Genomic DNA, 20,751 nt, shown 5'->3' on the forward strand with positions numbered 1-20,751 from the left:
AGACATCTTGTTTGCTAATTCTACCTCCCCAGTAGAACAAAATAGGATATTTTAAAGTGAAAGAACCAAGAAATATGATAAGTAAAAGGGATCTTGTGTGTAGGATTTCTCAAACTAAGATATATTACATTGGGAGGCCCAGGCTAGCGGATCACAAGGTCAAGAGATTGAGACCATCCTGGCCAACATGGTGAAACCCCATCTCTACTGAAACTACAAAATTAGCTGGGCATGGTGGCGCGTACCTGGAGTCCCAGCTACTCGGGAAGCTGAGGCAGGAGAATCTCTTGAACCCGGGAGGCGGAGTTTGCAGTGAGCCAAGATCGCATCACTGCACTCCAGCCTTGTGACAGAGTGAGACTTCGTCTCAAAAAAAAAAAAAAAAAAAAAAGATATTATATTTTCATGTCTCCAAACCTTGGAATGTTTGTAAAAAAGACATTCAGTAACATCTAGGTATTATTAGGAAATCACTGCTTCTAAACAAAATCCCTCCCTCCCTCCCATCTAATTACTCATTTCTGGTCACCTAGAACTTGGTGAGATTCTTTAGACTCTCATGAACAGATGATTCTCCAGGTGGAAATTTGCCAGGAAACTTTGCTGAGGGAAATAAACAGTTTCAACCCTCATCTAGTGTCACTGTCCCAGAGAACAGGAATCCCACCACATGCCTGAGTAGAGCCTTACATGATGCCAGAACTCTTGGGACATATGGACTCAGCCAGAGGCAGAAAGCCAGTTTGAAAGAAAAGTGAGAGAACGCCAGAGCCAAAGGGGAAAAAGAGAAAGAATGTTAGAGACCGAGAAAGGAAAAGTATGAAATTACATCAAGGTCAGCAAAACCCTAGTATAAATAGTAACAGCTGTATGCTGAGTCCCCACAGGAGTCTGTCCTGGATATTTTCCACTTGGCCCTCCAGATCCACCCTCCTCACTTCTCCACCCAGCTCTCTAACTGAGGAGGCTGAACCGTATGGACTGACTGAATCAGCTCCTTGTCCACTCGCTTCCAATTGAGTTCAGCCAGTGGTAGGCACCCGTGGAAGAAGGATAGGAGGAAAGTGAGTCTGAGATTATTTTCCCTGCCTCCTTCCTGGCCAGATGACAGCTCTCACCAAGCAGTCTTCTCTGGAAAGGCACGGCCTCCAGGTTCTAGTCACCTCCCCTTCTTCTTGCCCTGTCAGGATGAGGGTGGTGGGCACTCTCTGCTGTTCTAGTCCAGTGCATGGTGCCATTATTTTATGGTTCCCCTAAGCCCTGCCCACACTTTGTAACAAGTCCCTTTACACAGTGGTTTTCATATTCCTTAGTCACATCATTTGTTCATGCCATCAGGTTCCTGCCAGGACCACGACTGATGCAAAATCAAATCAAAATATTCCCTGAAAGACTTCATTATTGACCACATGTGGCTTGGGGTGGGTGTGGGGGAGAGCTCATGGGGAAATTAAAGGCAGGAAGAAAGCAAGTTGAATGAGAATGAGGGTAGCAGACATATTGCATTCAGTTTAGACATGTTCTTATGTGGCCTCCAGGTATAGATATCAAATATGTTCATAGCTGGAGGGTTCACTTTTAGAGATGGAAGTTTAGTGCTTAACATGTTGGAAGTAAATAAAACTAGTGGATTTGGTTGTTTAGGAAACAACAATAGGGTAAGAAGAGCTGCGGGTAGCTGACGTATTCTCCAGAACATAGATGTTTAATGGGTAAAAGGAAGACTCGCTTCTGACAAGGAGTGCTCAAGAAGTGGGATAAAACAAGTAGAGTGATGTCACCCAAGCCACAGGAGTAGAGGGTTTTAAGAGGAAAAAACTAGCTAGCTAACACTGTATATCCAATAAGAGGTCTCTTAAGATAAGGATTAAAACCTCTCCACTGGCTGCAACATTTGAGAAGACAAGTATAACCTTTGGCATAACAGTTTCCAAGGAGTGGGACTGTGGACACCAGCTTACTGTGAAACCCACAGTGAAGAGAAAACGGAGGAAGAGGAGGCAGGATGAGAAGACATGCTTTTGGAAAGCTTGGCTGAGAAAAGAAGCATGAGTAAGAAATACCAGTAACCAGAGTGGTAACAAGGTAAAGAAAGTTTTTTTTTTTTTAATGAAATGTGAGAATATTTATATGCAGAGGGGAATAAATCAGTAGAGAAGGAGAGTTTCAACCTGCCAGAGAACAAAGAGAGGCAGGCTCTAGCAAGTTGAACTTGGATTCAAGAAACTTCATCCTTCATCTATAAGGGGGAAAAGTAAGGCTAAGTAGATATCTAGACAAATCTTTTAGAGATAGGGGAGAAGTCAAGACATTTTATACTTTATGGCTTCAATTTTCTCCATAAGTTAAGAGCTATGAAAATTTGATGTGAAGTGTTGAAATAGGATAGGGGTCTTGAGATTTTGAATAGTTACAGAAAATAAAAAGGAGGAGACAGAGCAAGATGGTAGAATAGAAGGCTCCACCAATCGACGCCCACCCCCCACCCCCCCCAAACAAGGACACCAATTTAACAACTGTCTATAGAAAAAAATCACCTTCATAAGAACCAAAAATCAGGTGGGCACCCACAGTACTTGGTTTTAACTTCATATCACTAAAAGAGTCACACGAGAGGTAGAAAAAAGTCTTTTTTTTTTTTTTTGAGACAGAGTCTCACACTGTCTCTCAGGCTGGAGTGCAATGGTGCAATCTCAGCTCACTGCAACCTCCACCTGCCAGGTTCAAACAATTCTCCTGCCTCAGCCTCCCGAGTAGCTGGGACTACAGGCATGTGCCACCATGCCCAGCTAATTTATTTATTTATTTTTTGTATTTTTAGTAGAGACGGGGTTTCACCATGCTGGCCAGGCTGGTCTCAAACTCCTGACCTTGTGATCCACCCACCTCGGCCTCCCAAAGTGCTGGGATTACAGGCGTGAGCCACCGCGCCCGGCCCGGAAAAACAGTCTTAAATCACAGATGTCATCCCTCCCCAATCCCCGATTCCCCACTCCCCTCTCCCCCATTTTCCCCCTTCCTCCAGCAGTGATGGTGTGAGTGGAGAGAAGGGCATTTCAGTGCTCTGGGAGAGGGAAAGTGCAGCAATCATGACCCATTGAACTCAGTGCTGTCCTGTTACAGCAGAAAGGAAAACCAAACCAAACTCAGCTGACATTCACCTATAGAGAGAGCATTTAAACTAGCCCTAGCCAGAGGGGAATCACCATTTTCAGTGGTGGGAACTTGAGTTCTTGCAAGCCTCGCCACAGCAGGCTAAAGCACTCTGGGGGTCTAAATAAACTTGAAAGGCAGTCCAGGCTGAAACTCCTAGACAAGTCCTAGGGCTGAACTGGGCCCAGAGACAGTGGATTGAGGAGGCACACAACCTACTAAGACACCAGCTGCGGCAACTAAGAGAGTACTGGAATCACCCTTCTCCTAATTCCAGGCTGCACAGTTTGCAGCTCCAAAAGAGATATGTTCCTTCCACTGAAGGAAAGGAGAGGGAAGAGTAGAGAGGACTTTGTCTTGCATCCTGGATACCGCCAGCCACAGCAGGATAGGGCACTGGTCAGAGTCATGAGGTCCCGTTCCAGGCCCTAGCTCCTGAACAACATTCCTAGATACACACTGGGCCAGAAGGGAACCTGCTTCCCTAAAGGGAAGGACCCAGTCCTAGCAGCATTCGTCACCTGCTAACTAAAGAGCCCTTGGGCCCCAAATAACCAGCAGCGATACCCAGGTACTACGTGGAGGGCCATAGGTGAGACTCTGAGACTTACTGGCTTCAGGTGAGACTCAGCACATGCCCAGCTGTGGCGGCTATAAGGCAAGACTCCTTCTGCTTGAGAAAAGCAGATGGAAAAGAAAAGCAGACTTTGACATGCACCTTAGGTACTAGCTTGGCCACAGTGGGGCCCCAAGAACTAAGCAGGCTCTTGGGGTCCCCGATCCCAGGACTCAGCTCTTGGATGACATTTCTGGACCGCCCTGGGATAGAGCAGAGCCCATTCCCCTGAAGATGAGTCCCAGGCCAGATAGCATCCACCACAAGCTGATAGAGGAGCCCTTGCTTGGACTTTAAGGGTACTTTGGAGGTAGTCTGGCAGTACTCCCTGTGGGCCTGCCGAGGCAGTGGCCACAGGTGAAGCTCTCTGCCTTTTAAAAGAGGAAGGAAGAATGGGAAGGGCTATGTCTTGTGATTTCAGTGCCAGCTCAGCTGCGGTACAATAGAACACCAGGTAGACTTCCAAGGTTTTGACTCTAGTCTCTGGCTCCTGGATAGCACCTCTGGACCTGCCTGGGGCCTGTGGGAACTTTCTGCCCTTAAGGGAAGGACATGGGCCTGGCTGGCGTTGCCACTTGCTGATTATAGAGCCCCAGGGCCTTAAGCGAACATACGCAATAGCCAGAGAGTGGTTACAGGGGGCCTTGGGCAAGACCCAGTGCTGTGCTGGCTTCAGGTCTGACCCAGCACAGTCATAGTGGTGGTGGCCACAGGAGTGCTTGTGTCACTCCACCCCCAGCTTCAGGTGGCTCAGAACACAGAAAGAGACTCTGTTTGTCTGGGAGAAAGTAAGAAAATAAAACAAGAGTCTCTGGGTAATCCAGAGAATTCTCTTGGATCTTGTCCAAGACCATCAAGGCAGTACCTCTACAAGTCTGCAAGAACCACACAGCGTTACTGGGCTTGGGAGGCTACCTAAAGCAGATACAGCTTAGATCACAACGCCTGAGTCTTTTCAGAAATCTGGACAGCCTTCCCAAGAAGGGCGGGTACAAACAAGCCCAGACGGCGAAGACTACAATAAATACCTAACTCTTCAACGCCCAGACACAGATGAACATCTACAAGTATCAAGACCATCCAGGAAAACATGACCTCACCAAATGCAATAAGGCACCAGGGACCAATCAATCCTGGAGAAACAGAGATATGTGACCTTTCAGACACAGAACCCAAAAAGCTGTTTTGAGGAAGGTCAAAGAAATTTAAGATAACACAGAGAAGGAATTCAGAATTCTATCAGATAAATTTAACAGCAGAAAAAAAGGAGAGGCATCTGAAAATAGCCTGAGGCTGATCCGAAATGGGGAGAATGCAAGACCTAGATTTTTATCATTAAAGACCCAGGGCAGGAATGCTTGGTGTCCACTAGCAGGAAGATATAATTAAATATAAATAAGATATAGATGAATATAGAGAAGTAGGATAAAGCAATACTGCATACTCTCTTCTACCTCCTCCTCATCCTACGTTCCTGCCTAGAAACATATGTACATAAACATCAAAAACTGTAATTTTAAAGGGGCAGGGGTAGGGAAAAGAGTACTCTGGTATCCCCAAGTACCAGACGTGGTCATGGGAAAGAGCATAGGATTTCGTATTTAATATTGTATCATTTTATACACACATAGGCAAAGTATGAGAGTGCCTATTTCCTCACTATCTCTTCAACACAATAGTTTATTAAAATTCTTTATCTTTGATAATCTGATAGGTTTAAAAATGGCATCTCAATATAATTTTAACTTAATGTGATAATTTTTCTTATTATGAGGGAGGTTGAGCATCTGTTCATATATTTAGGAGTCATTTGTCTTTCCTATTTTGAGATCTGTCTATTCATTACTGATATACTTTGAGTGTTTGTCCCCTCCAAATCTCCTGTTGAAATGCAATCCCCAGTGTTGGAGGTAGGGCCTAGTAGAAGATGTTTGGATCCTGGGGTAGATCCCTCATGAATGGCTTGATGCCATCCCCTTGGTGATGAATTGGTGCAACCCCCTCTAGTTTACACGAGAGCTGGTTGTTTACAAGACCCTAGCACCTCCTCCCCTCTCTCTTGCTCCCTCTCTTGCCATGTGACACAGCAGCTCCCCTTTCTTTCCACATGACTATAAGCTTCCTTAGGCCTCACTAGAAACTGAGCAGATGCTGGCACCATGCTTCTTATACAACCTGCAGAACTGTGAGCCAAATAAACCGCTTTTCTTTATAAATTACTCAGTCTCAGGTATTCTTTTATAGCAATGCAAAATGGACTAATATGACTGCCTTTGCCCATTTTTTCTAATGGGCAGGTGGTCTTTTTCATATTGCTTTTTGTAAACCCTTTAAATATAAAATTGATCCTCATTATTCATGAATTCCTTTTTTGCAAATCTACTCAATAAAATTATCTGTAATCTTCAAACCAATACTCACAGGGCCTTCGTGGTCACTCACAGACAGGCACAGAGCAGCAAAACATTTGTTAGCTGAGGTCAAACAAGGTGACTCTCTGCCTTCCTGTTCCAGTTCTCATACTGTAAACAAGTGTCCTTTTCATGGTCTATTTAGTGCCATATTTTCCACATTTTCCACATTTTTGTGCTTTTTACTGGTGATGTTGCTGTTGAAAATGGCCCCTAAATGTAGGGCTGCAGAGCTGTCTAGTGTTCCTAAGGGTGAGAAGGCTGTGGTGTGCCTATGGAGAAAATCCAGGTGTTAGATAAGCTTCTTTAATGCATGAGTTATAGCACTGTTGGCCATGAGTTCAATGTTAATGAACATTATATACTAAAAAATACATAACAATAATATGTATTCGGTAAGGTGTCTTTAAATAGAAATACATACAGAACAACGTTACATATTGATTGGTTGAGGAAAATCTTGTGACCAAAGGCTCTCACAGGGAACTAACCCTTTATTTCCCATAGGAGCAATAGTTCAGCAGTCGCTAATTCAGGTTTCTCAGTGACTTTATAGAACATAACTATGTTATGTTCTATAAATGATGCCAATCTGCTATATTTAGGAAATTAACTCTTTGTTTATACCATGAAATTATCTTGTCCAGTTTGTCATTTGTCATTTAATTTTGCTTATTTTGGGGGCAAGAATTTTTTTAATTTTTATGTGGTCGAGTTTACGAATTTATATTTACTATATGCCTCTGGTTGTTGTGATTTAGTTAGAAAGGGGAAAAAATGAATGAGTGGAATAGACACCTAAATTCAGATATTACCTGCCATCTGGTTTGTGGACCTCTGCCCAAGCAGAAACAAGCTATCTCTCCATCCGCTCAAATAAAACCCACCTGGTAGAGAGGCAAAGAGAGATTATATGACTGTTACTTCAAAGGAGCACAATTAGACTCTCTGGGGTACTATTTCACTTTATCCTTGAAATATTTATTTGATGATGGCATAAGCCCATGGCCTCAGTTACAAAGAAATGCATGAAAGCTTTCACTATTCCTGTTACAAAACACACAGCAAGGGTGTTGTTATATTTTGGGTGTCACATTAAATTTCACCGAACATAAGCTACAAAAGTTGCTTTTAACAATTATATAAAACTTTCCCTTTAATCAAGTTTGACTGGGAGCATCCCTAAAAGAATGAGAACCAACCTTCTAGCAAAATAAGGAATGTTTTGTCAATTATCAGCTAAGATTGTCCACAGTTGTATTTTAATGAAGCTGAAAGTGACAAACTGACTCCAAATTGGAAGTCACACTTCCAGCACCTCAACTTGTCAAATCTCAGGTGAAGGTTGATTTTCAGACTCTGATAGCAACACTCTTGCACAATGCCACCACGCAAAAGCCTCTCCTTACCCACAATCTTCCTCACCAGTAATTTGACTTCAGCAACAGATATGAATCTGTGACCTAGATGCAAATTATTCCTGATGACATGGATACTAAACTGTAAAAAGGAACTAACAAAAGCATCCTGTTTGACAAGGGTTCGATTTTACCACCACTAGGGCAGTAAATAGGTCACGCCTGTCAGGACTGGTGAGATTTATTATGTGTCATCTACACAATAGTACCATTGAATTTTCAGTGTCTGGTGATTAATCCCACGTTTGTGAGTTCTGGTGCCCTAGAAATGTGTTTGGAATGCTCAAGGCCTCCCTTCTAGTTCACCATTGGTTATTAGAAAACATTTGTCTTTTGTGTAAAAACAAAAGCACTGTACTCTCTATATTCTCATAATTCCATTAGAAAAATGAAGTGGATATGTTGTTCTTTAAAGAGGAAAGCGTTATGAAGAAACGAATATCACTGGAGGTGAAGTTATGAGATAGGTTCTCTGTTCTTCCCACCTCCTTCTTTCTCTGTCTGCTATGAACTAAATTGTGTCCCCCTTAGCCCACTCCAAAAATTCATAGGTTGAAGCCCTAACCTTCAAAGGGACTGTGTTTGGAGATAGGGCTTTTAGGAGGTAATTGTGGCTAAATGAAGTCATAAGGGAGAGGCAGTAATCTGATAGGATTGGTGGTTTTATAAGAAGAGGAAGAGAGGAAGATCCTTTCCTCTCCCTCACCCTCTAGGCTCAGGAACCAAGAAAGGTCTTGTGAGGTCACTGCAAAAAAACAGCTGGAAGCCAGGAAGAGGGCCCTCACCAGAAACAAACCATGATGGCACCCTGATGTCAAATGTCCAGCCTCCATAATTCTAAGAAAATTAATTTCTATTGCTTACACCACCCATCCTATGGTATTTTGTTATGGCAGCCCAAACCAAGGCACTGCCTCTCCTTAGACCAGAGGCTCTGGTGCTTCTGCCATATTGGTTGTGAACAGTCTACTCTGCAGCCACACATTTCCTCACATAGTCCCCCGACCCATACCTCAACAGTACTCACAGTCCTAACCTTTGCTAATAACTTCCTCCTCCTCCCAATTAATCAGAATTTCTCCTTTCTAACCACTGTTCCCTTGAAACATTGTCAATACAGGATGCTATAACAGATTGCCATAGACTAGGTGACTTAAACAATAAGAATATACTTTCTCACAGTTCTGGAGGCTGGAAGTCTGAGATTAGGGTGCCAGCATGGTTGGGTTCTGATAGGGGCCCTCTTCTAGATTCCAGACAGCTGCCTTCTCCTTGGATCCTCACGTGGCAGACAGAGAACTAGCTAGCTTTCTGGCCCCTTCCTATAAGGGCATTAATCACATTTATAAGGGCTCCACCCTCATGACCTAATTACCTCCCCAAAGCCCCACTGCTAAGCACTATCATACTGGGATTAAGGTTTCAACATATGAATTTGGGGAGACACAAATATTCATTCCATTGCAAGAACTGTTTTCTTAGGTGACTGGATGATCTGATAAACTATTCCACACTACAGTGTTGATGTCTGTTAATGATTTTATGTGTCACATTCATTTCTTCTCCTTCTCCTAACCCAGGTAGGTACCTGAAGACAGAGTAGGTCTCCTGAAACTTTCCCGGGTTATTCTCACAGATTCTGATAAGGAAAGAAAAGGCCTGAAAACACAGCTTATTCTGGAGATGGGCAGAGGAAGTGGGCAGAAGCACCACCCAGAGGGCTAACATCAAAGTCAAACTACTTCCTTCACAGTCTGGTTCAATGCATTAGGAATTGACCCAGGTTTTTGGCTTTCTATTCAACAGTCCTTGCAACATATACTCTTGCCTCCTTCAGTGACTTTATTAAAATAAGTTTTAAAAAAACCAAAATGTGATAATTTCAGGCAATAAAACAGGTCTCGAGAAGAGATATTTGAGGGTGAGGGATTCGTTTTGATCCCCCTTTCCTCTATAGCTCGAGGCTTTCATCCATTTATCAATATTTAAGTGTGTATTAATCTTAGTTCACAAATCCAAAGATGTGAGAAATATAGATTAATTTTTTTCCTTAGATTAAACTAGGCACAATTCTTAGCCCCCTTCGCACTAATTTGTGGTGCATCCATCCCTCCAAAGCCCCTTCTCAGCATACAGTCACACCAGAGTCCAAGAGGCTAGGCAGTGCATGGAAATTGGGGGAAAGACACTTAATGATTGGTGTCTCCCTAGTGCCCTGTCATCCTCGTTAGCCAAGCCCAGAGTGCTTCCTTGAACAGGCATTTATTTGCTTCTGCACCATGAGTGGGGTACAGTACCTAAGGTACAACTACCACTCTCACACCCTCCCTGGCAGGTCCTTCCAATTGCACAGGCCTTGACCATGCAATAGGGCATGGGTTTTCCTTCTCCCCTTTCATCTACTTCAAATACTTACATGTCTTTGACCTTTTATTTTGATCTGTGGGAAAAAAAATCTATCTCCTTCTAATTGTCCTTAAAATGTTTTGCATAAACTTGTCAAAGCTGAGGCTTTAGGAAAAGAAAAGCCAGGAAGATAAATTCTTACTGACAACTTCTGCTTCTGGTCCATAATAAAAACTTTTTCTAAGCCAAAAGAACACCAAAGGGTTTGGTTACATTCGGGGAACTGGGAAAGGAAAAGTACAAGGAGAAAGAGTAATATTTTCTTAAGTATTCTGGCCCACAAACAACAGATTCTGTGTAGAACTATCTGATAATATTACAGGGCAAATTTTTTTTTTCTGAATATTTTTAGGCGGCTGGTAAGAGCACCAGCCTGGAGAGAAGACTCAACCCCACTTCTGCTAATAACACTTATAAGCCACTTTTCCTCTGTGGACTAAATTCTGTACACTTGTTCATTCAACAAACTTTTATAAGCACTATGCTCTGCAGGAATTGAGGGAGGATGTGGTATAGGTCCTGAGGCTTCAAGGATATATGTTGACCTCCAGGAGAACATAATCAGCACATAAGCCAAAGGTCACAATTGCAAGGATAGAGACACTTCCGAGATGCTATGGAGCACTGAGGAAGGAAACTTAACATGACCTGGAGAGGAGCAGTCTCAACTGAGTCCTGCAGAAGCAGATGAAAATCAGGCCAAGGGTGATGGAAAGGAAGCACTAGAAAGGGTAGCACCGCCAACAGGAGTGACGTGTTAGACTCGTGGAGAGGTTAGTAGGGATCAAATCTGAGTGTGGCTTTCATGGTGTATTGTCTTTTAGTAGCAATGAAGTATCTTGGAAAAGTTTTGGTGGGAGGTGATGTCATATGCTAAGAATTACAGGTCTTTTGCTTTGCTTCGTTTTGTTTGGGCTGCTTAAACAACATCAACTTATCTCACAGTTCTGTAAGTCAGAAGTCTGAAACAGGTCTCACTAGCTTAAAATCAAAGTGTTGGCAGAGCTGCATTCCTTTCTGGAAGCTTGAGGGGAGACACCATTTTCTTGCCTTTTCCAGCTTCTAGAGCATGGCCACAGTCCTTAGCTCATGGCCCCTTCCACCTTCAAAGTTAGCAAAGGCAATTCGAGTCCTTCTCACATTGTATCACTCTGACTCTTTTTTTTTAGTCTTCCTCCTCCACTTTTTCTGACATTTTTAAAAAATTGAGATAAAATCCACATAACATAAAATTAACTGTTTAAAGCATATAATTCAGTGTCATATAGTACATCCACAGTGTTGTGCAGCCACCATCTATATCAAGTTCCAGAACATTTTTATCACCCCAAAAGAAATCCTGTACCCATTGAGTAGCCACTCCCCCTCCCTTCCTCCCAGCTCCTGACAACCCTCAATCTGCTTTCTATCTCTGTGAATTTACCTATTCTGAATATTTCTTATAAAAGGAATTACACTATATGTGACCTTTTGTGTTTGGCTTCTTCCACTTAGCATAATGCTTTTGAGGTTCTTCCATGTTGCAGCATGTGTCAGTACTTCATTCCTTTTTTTTTTTTTTGAAATGGAATTTCGCTCTTGTCACCTAGGCTGGAGTGCAGTGGTGCAATCTCAGCCCACTGCAACCTCCACCTCCCGGGTTCAAGCGATTCTCCTGCCTCAGCTTCCCTGTTATGTAAAACAGGAAGCTGTTTTACATAACATTCCATAAGTCAATCCCATAGCTGGGATTACAGGCGCTTGCCACCACGCCCAGCTAATTTATGTATTTTTAGTAGAGATGGAGTTTTACCATGTTAGCCTGGCTAGTCTCAAACTCCTGACCTCAGGCAATCTGCCCACCTCAGCCTGTCAAATTGCTGGGATTACAGGCATGAGCCACTGCACCTGGCCTCATTCCTTTTTATGGCTGAATAATACCCCATTGTAGGGCTATGAAACATTATGTTTATCCATTCATTCGTTGATGAACATTTGGGTTGTTTCCACCTTTTGGCTAATGTGAATAGTGCTGCTATACATAGTGTTTGGGTGCCTTCTTTCAGTTTCTTCTATGTACAAGTGTTTGATGTCTGTTTTCAGATTTTTTTACTATACCTAGGAGTGGAATTGTTGGGTCATGTAGTAGTTCTTTTTAAGAAACCCCCAAACTGTTTCCCACAGCAGCTTTACCATTTTACATTCCTACCAACAAGGTATGAGGGTTCCAATTTCTTCGCATTCTTGATAAAACTTGTTGTTGTTGTTTTTTTTTAAGTTATATTATAGCTAGCCTAAGGGGTGTGAAGTGATCTCGTTATGGCTTTGATTTGCATTTCCCTAGTGATTAATGATTCTGAGCATCTTTTTATGATTTTCTTTTTAAATAACTGAATTTGAAGGTTGTATGTAAGAAGGATTTTAAAGGAAGCAAAAAGAAAGTAGAAAAGCCAGTTTTCCAGATTAAATCTGATGACCTCATGAACAAACAGTAGGGAAAGGGAAAAAAAGATGAATTGGAGAAATATTTAGAAAGTAAAACTGTAAGAATTTGGAGCCAGCTGAATGTGGTGGTTTGAAAGAAAGGGAGAAGTGAAAGCCCTTCCATCTCCCTCATTCCTAAAATGAAAGGGTTAGGCCAGATGGCCTAGAGTGCTTCCCAGCACAAACATTCCCTCTTAAAAGTGAACTCACCTTGCAAATGTCAAAAGGGTTTATCAAGTGAAATTTACTCAAGGCTCCTTAAAACTGATGTTGCATGCGTTAAATGCTTCTAAGGATAAGCTCCTCTGATTTCAGGGACAGCTGAGACAGGACAAAATTTAAATGAAAACAATTCAATCTCATTATTTACAAATTAATTGTTAATTAACTGAATTAATTTAAACCATGTTAGCCTCTAAATATTCGTCACCCTGTTTTACATAACATTCCACAAGTCAAGCACCAGGGATTTATCATGCTGTTTGGGAATATGGATTCCAATGAGAATTATTTTTTAAAGTCTGTGCAAGAGGAGGACAGAACAAGATGGCCAAATAGAACCCTTCAGCAATTGTCCCCCTGAAAGAACATCTAATTGAACAACTATCCATGCAAGAAAGCACCTTCACAAACACCAAAAAAAATCAGGTAAGCAATCATAGTACCTGGTTTTAACATAATATTAAGGATAGAGGCATTGAATAGTGTAGGAAAGACAGTCTTGCATTGCCTACACCACCCCTCTCCCAGCCCTCCTCAGTGCTATACATGTGGAAGGAGAATCTGTGTGCTTGGGAGAAAGAGACCTAAGTGAGTGTGTGGGACTTTGCACTGGAACTCCCTGTAGCCCTGTCACAGTGTTGTGAAACACAACCCAAAACAGATTTCTGCTGGTACCCATGGAGGGAGCATTTAGATAAGCCCTGGACCAGAGGGAAATTATCCCCAGCAGAAGTCCTGGCTGGCTCCACCTTTAGCTGACTCATGGACCTGTGGCCCAGAATAAATTTGAGTGGCAGTCAGGCCACAAAAACTACAGTCCTTGGGCAAGCCTTAGTGCTGACCTGGTCTGATAAGCAGTGGACCTGGGGTACACATGACCCAGTGCAATACCAGCTGTGGAGGCCAAGGGAGTGCCTGCATCATCCCGCCCCCAGCTCCAGGCAGTTCAGCTCCAAGAGAGACTACCTCCACTTGGGGAAAGGAGAGGGAAGAGTACAGAGAACTTTGTCTTGCAACTTGGGTACCAGCTCAGCCACAGTAAAATAAAGCACCAAGCAGATTCCCAAAGCCCCTGATTGCAAGCCTTAATTCCTGGATTGTATTTCTAAACCCACCTTGGGCCAGAAGGAAATACACTGCCCTGAAGGGAAGGATCTAGTCCTAGCAGGATTTACCACCTGCTGACTAAAGAGCCCTTGAGTCTTGAATAAACATCAGTAGTAGTCAGGCAGTAGTTGCTACGGGCCTTGGGTGAGACCCAGTACTGCATTGGCTTCAGGTGTAACCCAGCACAGTGCCAGCTGTGGTGGACATAGGAGTGCTTACATCCCCTCTGCCAATTCCAGGCAGCCCAGCATGGTCAGAGACTCCTGCTGATTGGAGGAATGAGAGAGAAAAAAGCAAGAGACTTTTCAGGATAACCTAGGAATTCTCCCTTATTTTACCCAAGTCAACCAATGCTGTCCAATGTTGTGCCTCTAGGAGTTGGCAAGAGTGACAGTGCTTCTGGATTTGGGGAACTCCCTGTCCTCTTCTGCCCCCAGTGCTGATACAGCTGCAGCTGCAGTGACTACAGGCTTAAATCACAACACTCAATCTTCTTTGAATATGTCCTTCTCAAAAAGGATGAGTACAAACAAGCCCAGACTGCAAAGATAGAAATAAATAACTCTTCAGTGCCCAGATATTGACAAATGTCCACAAGCATGAAGAACATTCAGGAAAATTTGACATCAGAAAACAAACTAAATAAGGCACTAGTGACCAATCTCAGAGTAATAGACTATGTGACCTTTCAGACAGAATTCAAAACAGTTGTCTTGAGGAAGCTCAGCGAATTTCAAGATAACACAGAGAAGGAATTCAGAATTCTATCAGAAAAAATGTACCAAGAGAAATACAAACAACAAGAAATCCTGGAGCTGCAAAATTCAATTGACAAACTGAAAAACGTGTCAGAGTCTCCCAAGAGCAGAATTGATCAAGCAGAAAAAATAACTAATGAGCCTGAAGACAGACTACATAAAAATATGCAAAGGAGGCTGGGCGTGGTGGCTCATGCCTATAATCCCAGCACTTTGGGAGGCTGAGGCAGTGGATCATCTGAGGTCAGGAGTTTGAGACCAGCCTGACCAATATGGCGAAACCCCATCTCTACTAAATATACAAAAATTAGCTGGGTGTGGTGGCGTGCACCTGTAGTCCCAGCTACTTGGGAGGCTGAGACAGAATTACTTGAACGTGGGAGGTGGAGGTTGCAGTGGGCCAAGATCACGCCACTGCACTCCAGCCTGGGCAACAGAGCAAGACTCCATCTCAAAAAACAAAACAAAACAAAACAAAAAATATACAAAGGAGAAAAAATTAAAAAAAAAAAAGCATGCCTACAACATCAAGAAAGTAGACTTAAAATGACAGATCTAAGAGTTACTGGCCTTAAAGAGGATGTAGAGAGAGATACTGGGGTGGGAAGTTTATTCAAAAAAGTAACAACACATAACCCTCTAGATTTAGAGAAAGATGTGAACATCTAGGTACAAAAAGGTTATATAACACCAAGTGGATTCAACCCAAATAAGACTGCCTGAAGGCATATCATAATCAAACTCTCGAAGGTCAAGGATAAAAGATCCTAAAAGCAACAACAGAAAATAAGTAAATAACATATAAAGGAGCTTTGATACATCTCACAGCAGACTTTTCAGTGGAACCTTACAGGGCAAGAGAGAATGGGATAACATATTCAACATCTGAAGGAAAAATCTTCCAACCTATAATATTATATCAGCAAAATTATCCTTCAAACATGAAGGAGAAATAGACTTCCCCAGACAAACAAAAGTTGAGGGATTTCATCAACATCAGACCTGTCTTATAAGAAATGCTAAAGGGAGTTCCTCAATCTTAAAGAAAAGGACATTGATAAACAACAATAAATCATCTGTAGGTATAAAACGCACTGGTAATAGTAAATACACAAACAAATACAGAATACTCTAACACTACAATTAGTGTGTAAACCACTCATATATTTAGTAGAAAGACTAGAAGACAAAACAATCAAAGAATAACCACAACAACTTTTTACGAGATAGACAATATAAAAAGATATAAATAGAGACAACAAAAAGTCAAGAGGTAGGAGACAAAGTGCAGAGTTTTTTTAGTTTTCTCTGCTATGTGTTTGTTTGTTTATTTGTTTTGCAATCATCAACATTGTCATCAGTTTAAAATATTGGTTATAAGATGTTATTTGCAAGCCTCATGATAACCACAAAATGAAAACATATAACAGAGACACACATACAAAAATGCAAGAAATTAAAACATACTACCAGAGAAAATCACTTTTACACAAATTACAAAATGGCAGTAGTAAGTCCTTACCTATCGATAATAACATTGACTGTAACTGGACTAAATCCCTTAATCAAATACATAGAGTGGCTGAATGGACACACACACACACACACACACACACACACACACACACACGACCCTACTATATGCTGCCTACAAGAAATTCAATCTATAAAGATACAAACAGCCTGATAATAAAGGAATGGAAAAAATATCCAATGCAAATGGAAACTAAAAAAGAGCAGGAGTACCTACACTTGTACTGTCAGATAAAATAGATTTCATGACAAAAACTGTGAAAAAAAAGAAAAAAGAAGAAGACAAACAAGGTCATTATATAATGATAAAGGGGTCAATTCAGCAAGAAGATATTACACTTGTAAACATATATGCACCCAATACTGAAGCATACAGATATGTAAAGCAAATATTAGAGGTATATAGAGAGATATACCCCAATTCAATAATTGTTGGGAACCTCAACCACCTACTTTTAGCATTGGACAAATCATCCAGACAAAAAATCAACATAGAAACATCAGACTTAATCTGCACTATGGACCAAATGGATCTAATAGACATTTACAGAGCATTTGATCCAGTACCTGCCAAATACACATTCTTCTCCTCTGCTTATGGAACATTCTCAAGGATAGACCATATGGTAGGTCACAAAACAAGTCCCAAAAAATTCAGAAAAACTGAAATCATATCAAGTAACTTTTCCAACCACCATAGAATAAAACTAGAAATCAGTAACAGAGGAATTTTGGAAACTATACCAACACATGGAAATTAAACATTACACTCCTGAATGGCTACTGGGTCAATGAAGAAATTAAAAAGGAAATTTTAAAATTTTGTGAAACATACCAAAACTTACAAGATACAGCAAAAGCAGTACCAAGAGGGAAGTGTATAACAATAGACACTTCCATCAAAAAAGCAGAAAAACTTCAAACAAATAACAATGCATCATAAAGTACTAGAAAAGCAAAGCAAATCAAATTCAAAATTAATAGAAGAAATAATAAAGGTCAGAGTAGACATAAATGTAACGAGACTAAGAAAACACAAAGTATCAATAAAATGAAAAGTTTTTTAAAAACCTTTTTAAATGAACAAAATTGACAAACCTTTAGCCAGACTAAGAAAAAAAGAGAGAAGACCCAAATAAATAAAATCAGAGATAAAAAAGGAGATAGTAAAACGAATACTACAGAAATTCAAGGATTATTAGAGACCATTATGAGCAACCACATGCCAATAAGTTGGAAAACCTAGAACAATTGGATATGTTTATAGATGTATAAATGTATTGGATAAACTGGATACATTTATAGATGTTATAGAACAACTGGATACATTATACAATTTTATACATACAACCTACCAACATGGAACCATGAAGAAATACAAAAACTCAATAGACCAACAACAAGTAACAAGACAGAAACTGTAATTAAAAAGTCTCCCAGCAAAGAAAAGCCCAAGACCTGATGGTTTTACTGCTGAATTCTACCAGACACTTAAAGAAGAACTAATACTAATCCTACTCAAACTATTCCCCAAAATCAGGAAGGGAATACTTCCAAATTTGTTCTGTGAGGCCACTATTACCCTCATATCAAAACCAGACAAAGACACAACAAAAGAAGAAAACTACAGGCCAATAACTCAGATGAACATAGACGCAACAAAATACTAGCAAACAAAATTCAACAACACATTAAAAGGATCACGCATCATGATCAAGTGGGATTCATCCCATGGATGCCAGGATAATTCAACATACACAAATCAATCAATGTGATATATCATACCAACAGAACAAAGGACAAAACCCATATGATCATTTCAATTGATGACAAAAAAAATTTGATAAAATTTAACATCCCTTCATGATAAAAACCCTCAGAAATGGGTATAGAAGGAACATACCTCAACAATATAAAAGCCATATATGACAAACTCATAGCTAGTATCATATCGAAGGGGGAAAAACTGAAAGCCTTTTCTCTAAGATCTGGAACAAGACAAGGATGCCCATTTTCACTACTGTTTTTTCAACATGTTCTGGAAGTCCTAGCAAGAGCAATCAGACAAGAGAACAAAATAAAGGGCATCCAAATTGGAAAGGAGGAAGTCAACCTATCCGTATTTGCAGATAATATGATCTTATATTTGGAAAACCCTAAAGATGACACCAAAACACTACTAGAACTCATTCAGTAAACGAATTCAGTAAATTTGCAGGATACAAAATAAACACACAAAACTCAGCAGCACTTCTAAAAACAGTGAATAATCTGAAAAAGAAACCAAGAAAGTAATCTCATTTATAATAGCTACAAATAAAATTAAATGCCTAGGAATAATCTTACCCAATGAAGTAAGAGATCTCTACAATGAAAACTATAAAACATTGATAAAAGAAATTGAAGAGGACACACAAAAAATGGAAATATATTCCCATGTTCATAGAGAAGAAGAATCAATATTGTTAAAAATGTTCAACTACCCAAAGAAATCTACAGATTCAATGCAATCTCTGTCAAAATACAAATAACATTCTTCACAGAAAAAGAAAGAAGTCCTAATATTTATATGACACCACAAAAGACCCAGGATAACTAAAGCAATCCTTAGCAAAAAAAAAAAAAGAAAACTGAAGGAATCACATTATCTGACTTCACATTATACCACAGAGCTATAGTAACCAAAACAACATGGTATTGGCAAAAACAGACAAACAGACCAATGGAACAGAAGAGAGAACACAGAAATAAATGCACAGATTTATAGTCAATTCATTTTCAACAAAAATGCCAAGAATATAATTGGGGAAAGGACAGTCTCTTCAATAAATGGTACTGGAAAAACTGGATATCTATGTGCAGAAGAATGAAACTTGACCCCATCTCTTTCGATGTACAAAAATCAAATCAAAATAGATTAAAGACTTAAATCTAAGACCTTGAACTATGAAACAACACAAAGAAAAAATTGGGGAAACTCTCCAGAATATTGGTCTGGGCAAAGATTTTTGGAGTAAGACCTCAAAAGCACAGACAACCAAAGCACAAATGGATAAATGGAGTCACATTTAAGCTCAAAATCTTCTGCACAGCAAAGGAAACAATCAACAAAGTGGAAGATGGTGGATTGGTGGAATTGTTAGCATGCGTCTCCCACTTGGAAAGACAAAATAGTGTATAGAGATTCATGCTGTGAACATTTTACCAAGGAGCAACACAAACTTAACAGGAAAACTGAAAGAAACCACAGGCCCTTTGAAATAAGCGGCAGGCTGCAGCCTACACCATGAGGCAGGTAGAAAATTGCCAGTCCCCAGAGTGTGCTAGTCCCCAGAGGGATAAACTGCCTCCAGGACTCACACTCCTACTGGCGGACCTGGCAATACAGGCCACAGGAGTAGGCCTGAACCCTACCCAGTAATGGAACTGACTTAGAGAGCGGTGGGAAATACAAAAGTAGAAACGGCGAGAAGAGCCTCACATGCATGCCCAATCTCCAACCCGTATGAACCGAAGCCATTCTTGATCCTACCTCACTGGGAACCTCACAGAAGTCGGCCAGCTAACTCATGTGGTGGCTGCAGGTTGAGAGAAGCTCCCATCTGAAATTCGTAATATAATCTTTGAGTGGGTATGAACTCCCTTGGCCAGAACCAGGGGTGTGAGTGGGAAGTGTGCTGCAGCCACAATGCAGGAGCTGGGTGCCCTGGCCTCATAGGCGGAGTGGGAGGGGCGTGGCCTGAAAGCTATGGTTGCTATCTCCACTGGGAAAGCTTATGGCCTGTGGCAGTTTTGAGTCCTGCCCCCAGACTGCCTGGAACTTAGCTAGCTGCTGCTAGTGGAACCCTGCGGATGTGAGGCCTGCCTTGCCAAGTGTGTGGGAGCTGAGTGTGGCTTACCTCTACCTGCTATTCCCCACTACCGATGTAAACTTCTGTGCAACAGAGACAGCTGTGCTACTTCCTGGAACATAACCCCAGAGGCCAGAGAGCTGGCCACAGACCTCCACTGGGGTTTCTGCTTGTCTTACACATGCAGAGCTAGAGCATGGACTTGCCTGACCCAGCACCTACCTGGCTTTACCCCTCTATCTGCTTTTGCAGCTCAACACAAAGGACAGAAATTGTGGGAGCTCTATGGGGTAGCCCATTGCCTGAAACTGACCAAAGTACCTCTCCTGGGTAACATAAGGCAAGCACAAATCCCACCACTACCACCTCAGCTGGTGTTCTCTTGCAAGCATCACCTCCTGTTTGGAGGCCAACTGACACAATCCATTGCAGCATCTCCGGGTAGCATAATGAAGTGCCCAGGAAGGAGAAAACTTGTACATGACCTCAGCTATCGCCATTGCCTGTAACAAGCGGGCTGACTAGGAAGTTCTGAGTGTCCATTTGACCAGTTCATCATGACTACAACTGGCATTTGAGAAAGCCAACACAGTAAGGTTATTTATAACCAAGGAATCGCACAGAGTCTATGTCACCCCCCTGCCACCTCCACCAGTGCTGCTGGTGGTACCTGCTACTGAGAGACTTGAGGATAGATCACATCACTAGATCCCTTGCAGACATTCCCCAGTACTAGCCTTGAGTGTGGCAACTCCACTGGGTGGCTAGACCCAGAGGAGCAGCAGCATTCACAGTAGTCTGGTTCTCAGGGAC

General features: G+C 41.5%; 1 protein-coding gene across 2 annotated transcripts in view; it reads right to left on the reverse strand.

The window, feature by feature from the left end:
* Nucleotides 1–19,777, reverse strand: part of COL21A1 (collagen type XXI alpha 1 chain) — a 337,539-nt gene extending 317,762 nt beyond the window's left edge. For both annotated transcript variants that reach the window (NM_001318752.2, XM_011514924.3), the window contains exon 1: nucleotides 19,620–19,777. The gene's annotated coding sequence lies outside the window, so the exon portion shown is untranslated. The remainder of the gene's footprint in view (nucleotides 1–19,619) is intronic.
* Nucleotides 19,778–20,751: the final 974 nt, after the last annotated feature.

Source organism: Homo sapiens, chromosome 6 (assembly GCF_000001405.40).
Source record: "Homo sapiens chromosome 6, GRCh38.p14 Primary Assembly".
In the NCBI taxonomy this organism is placed as follows: Eukaryota; Metazoa; Chordata; class Mammalia; order Primates; family Hominidae; genus Homo; species Homo sapiens.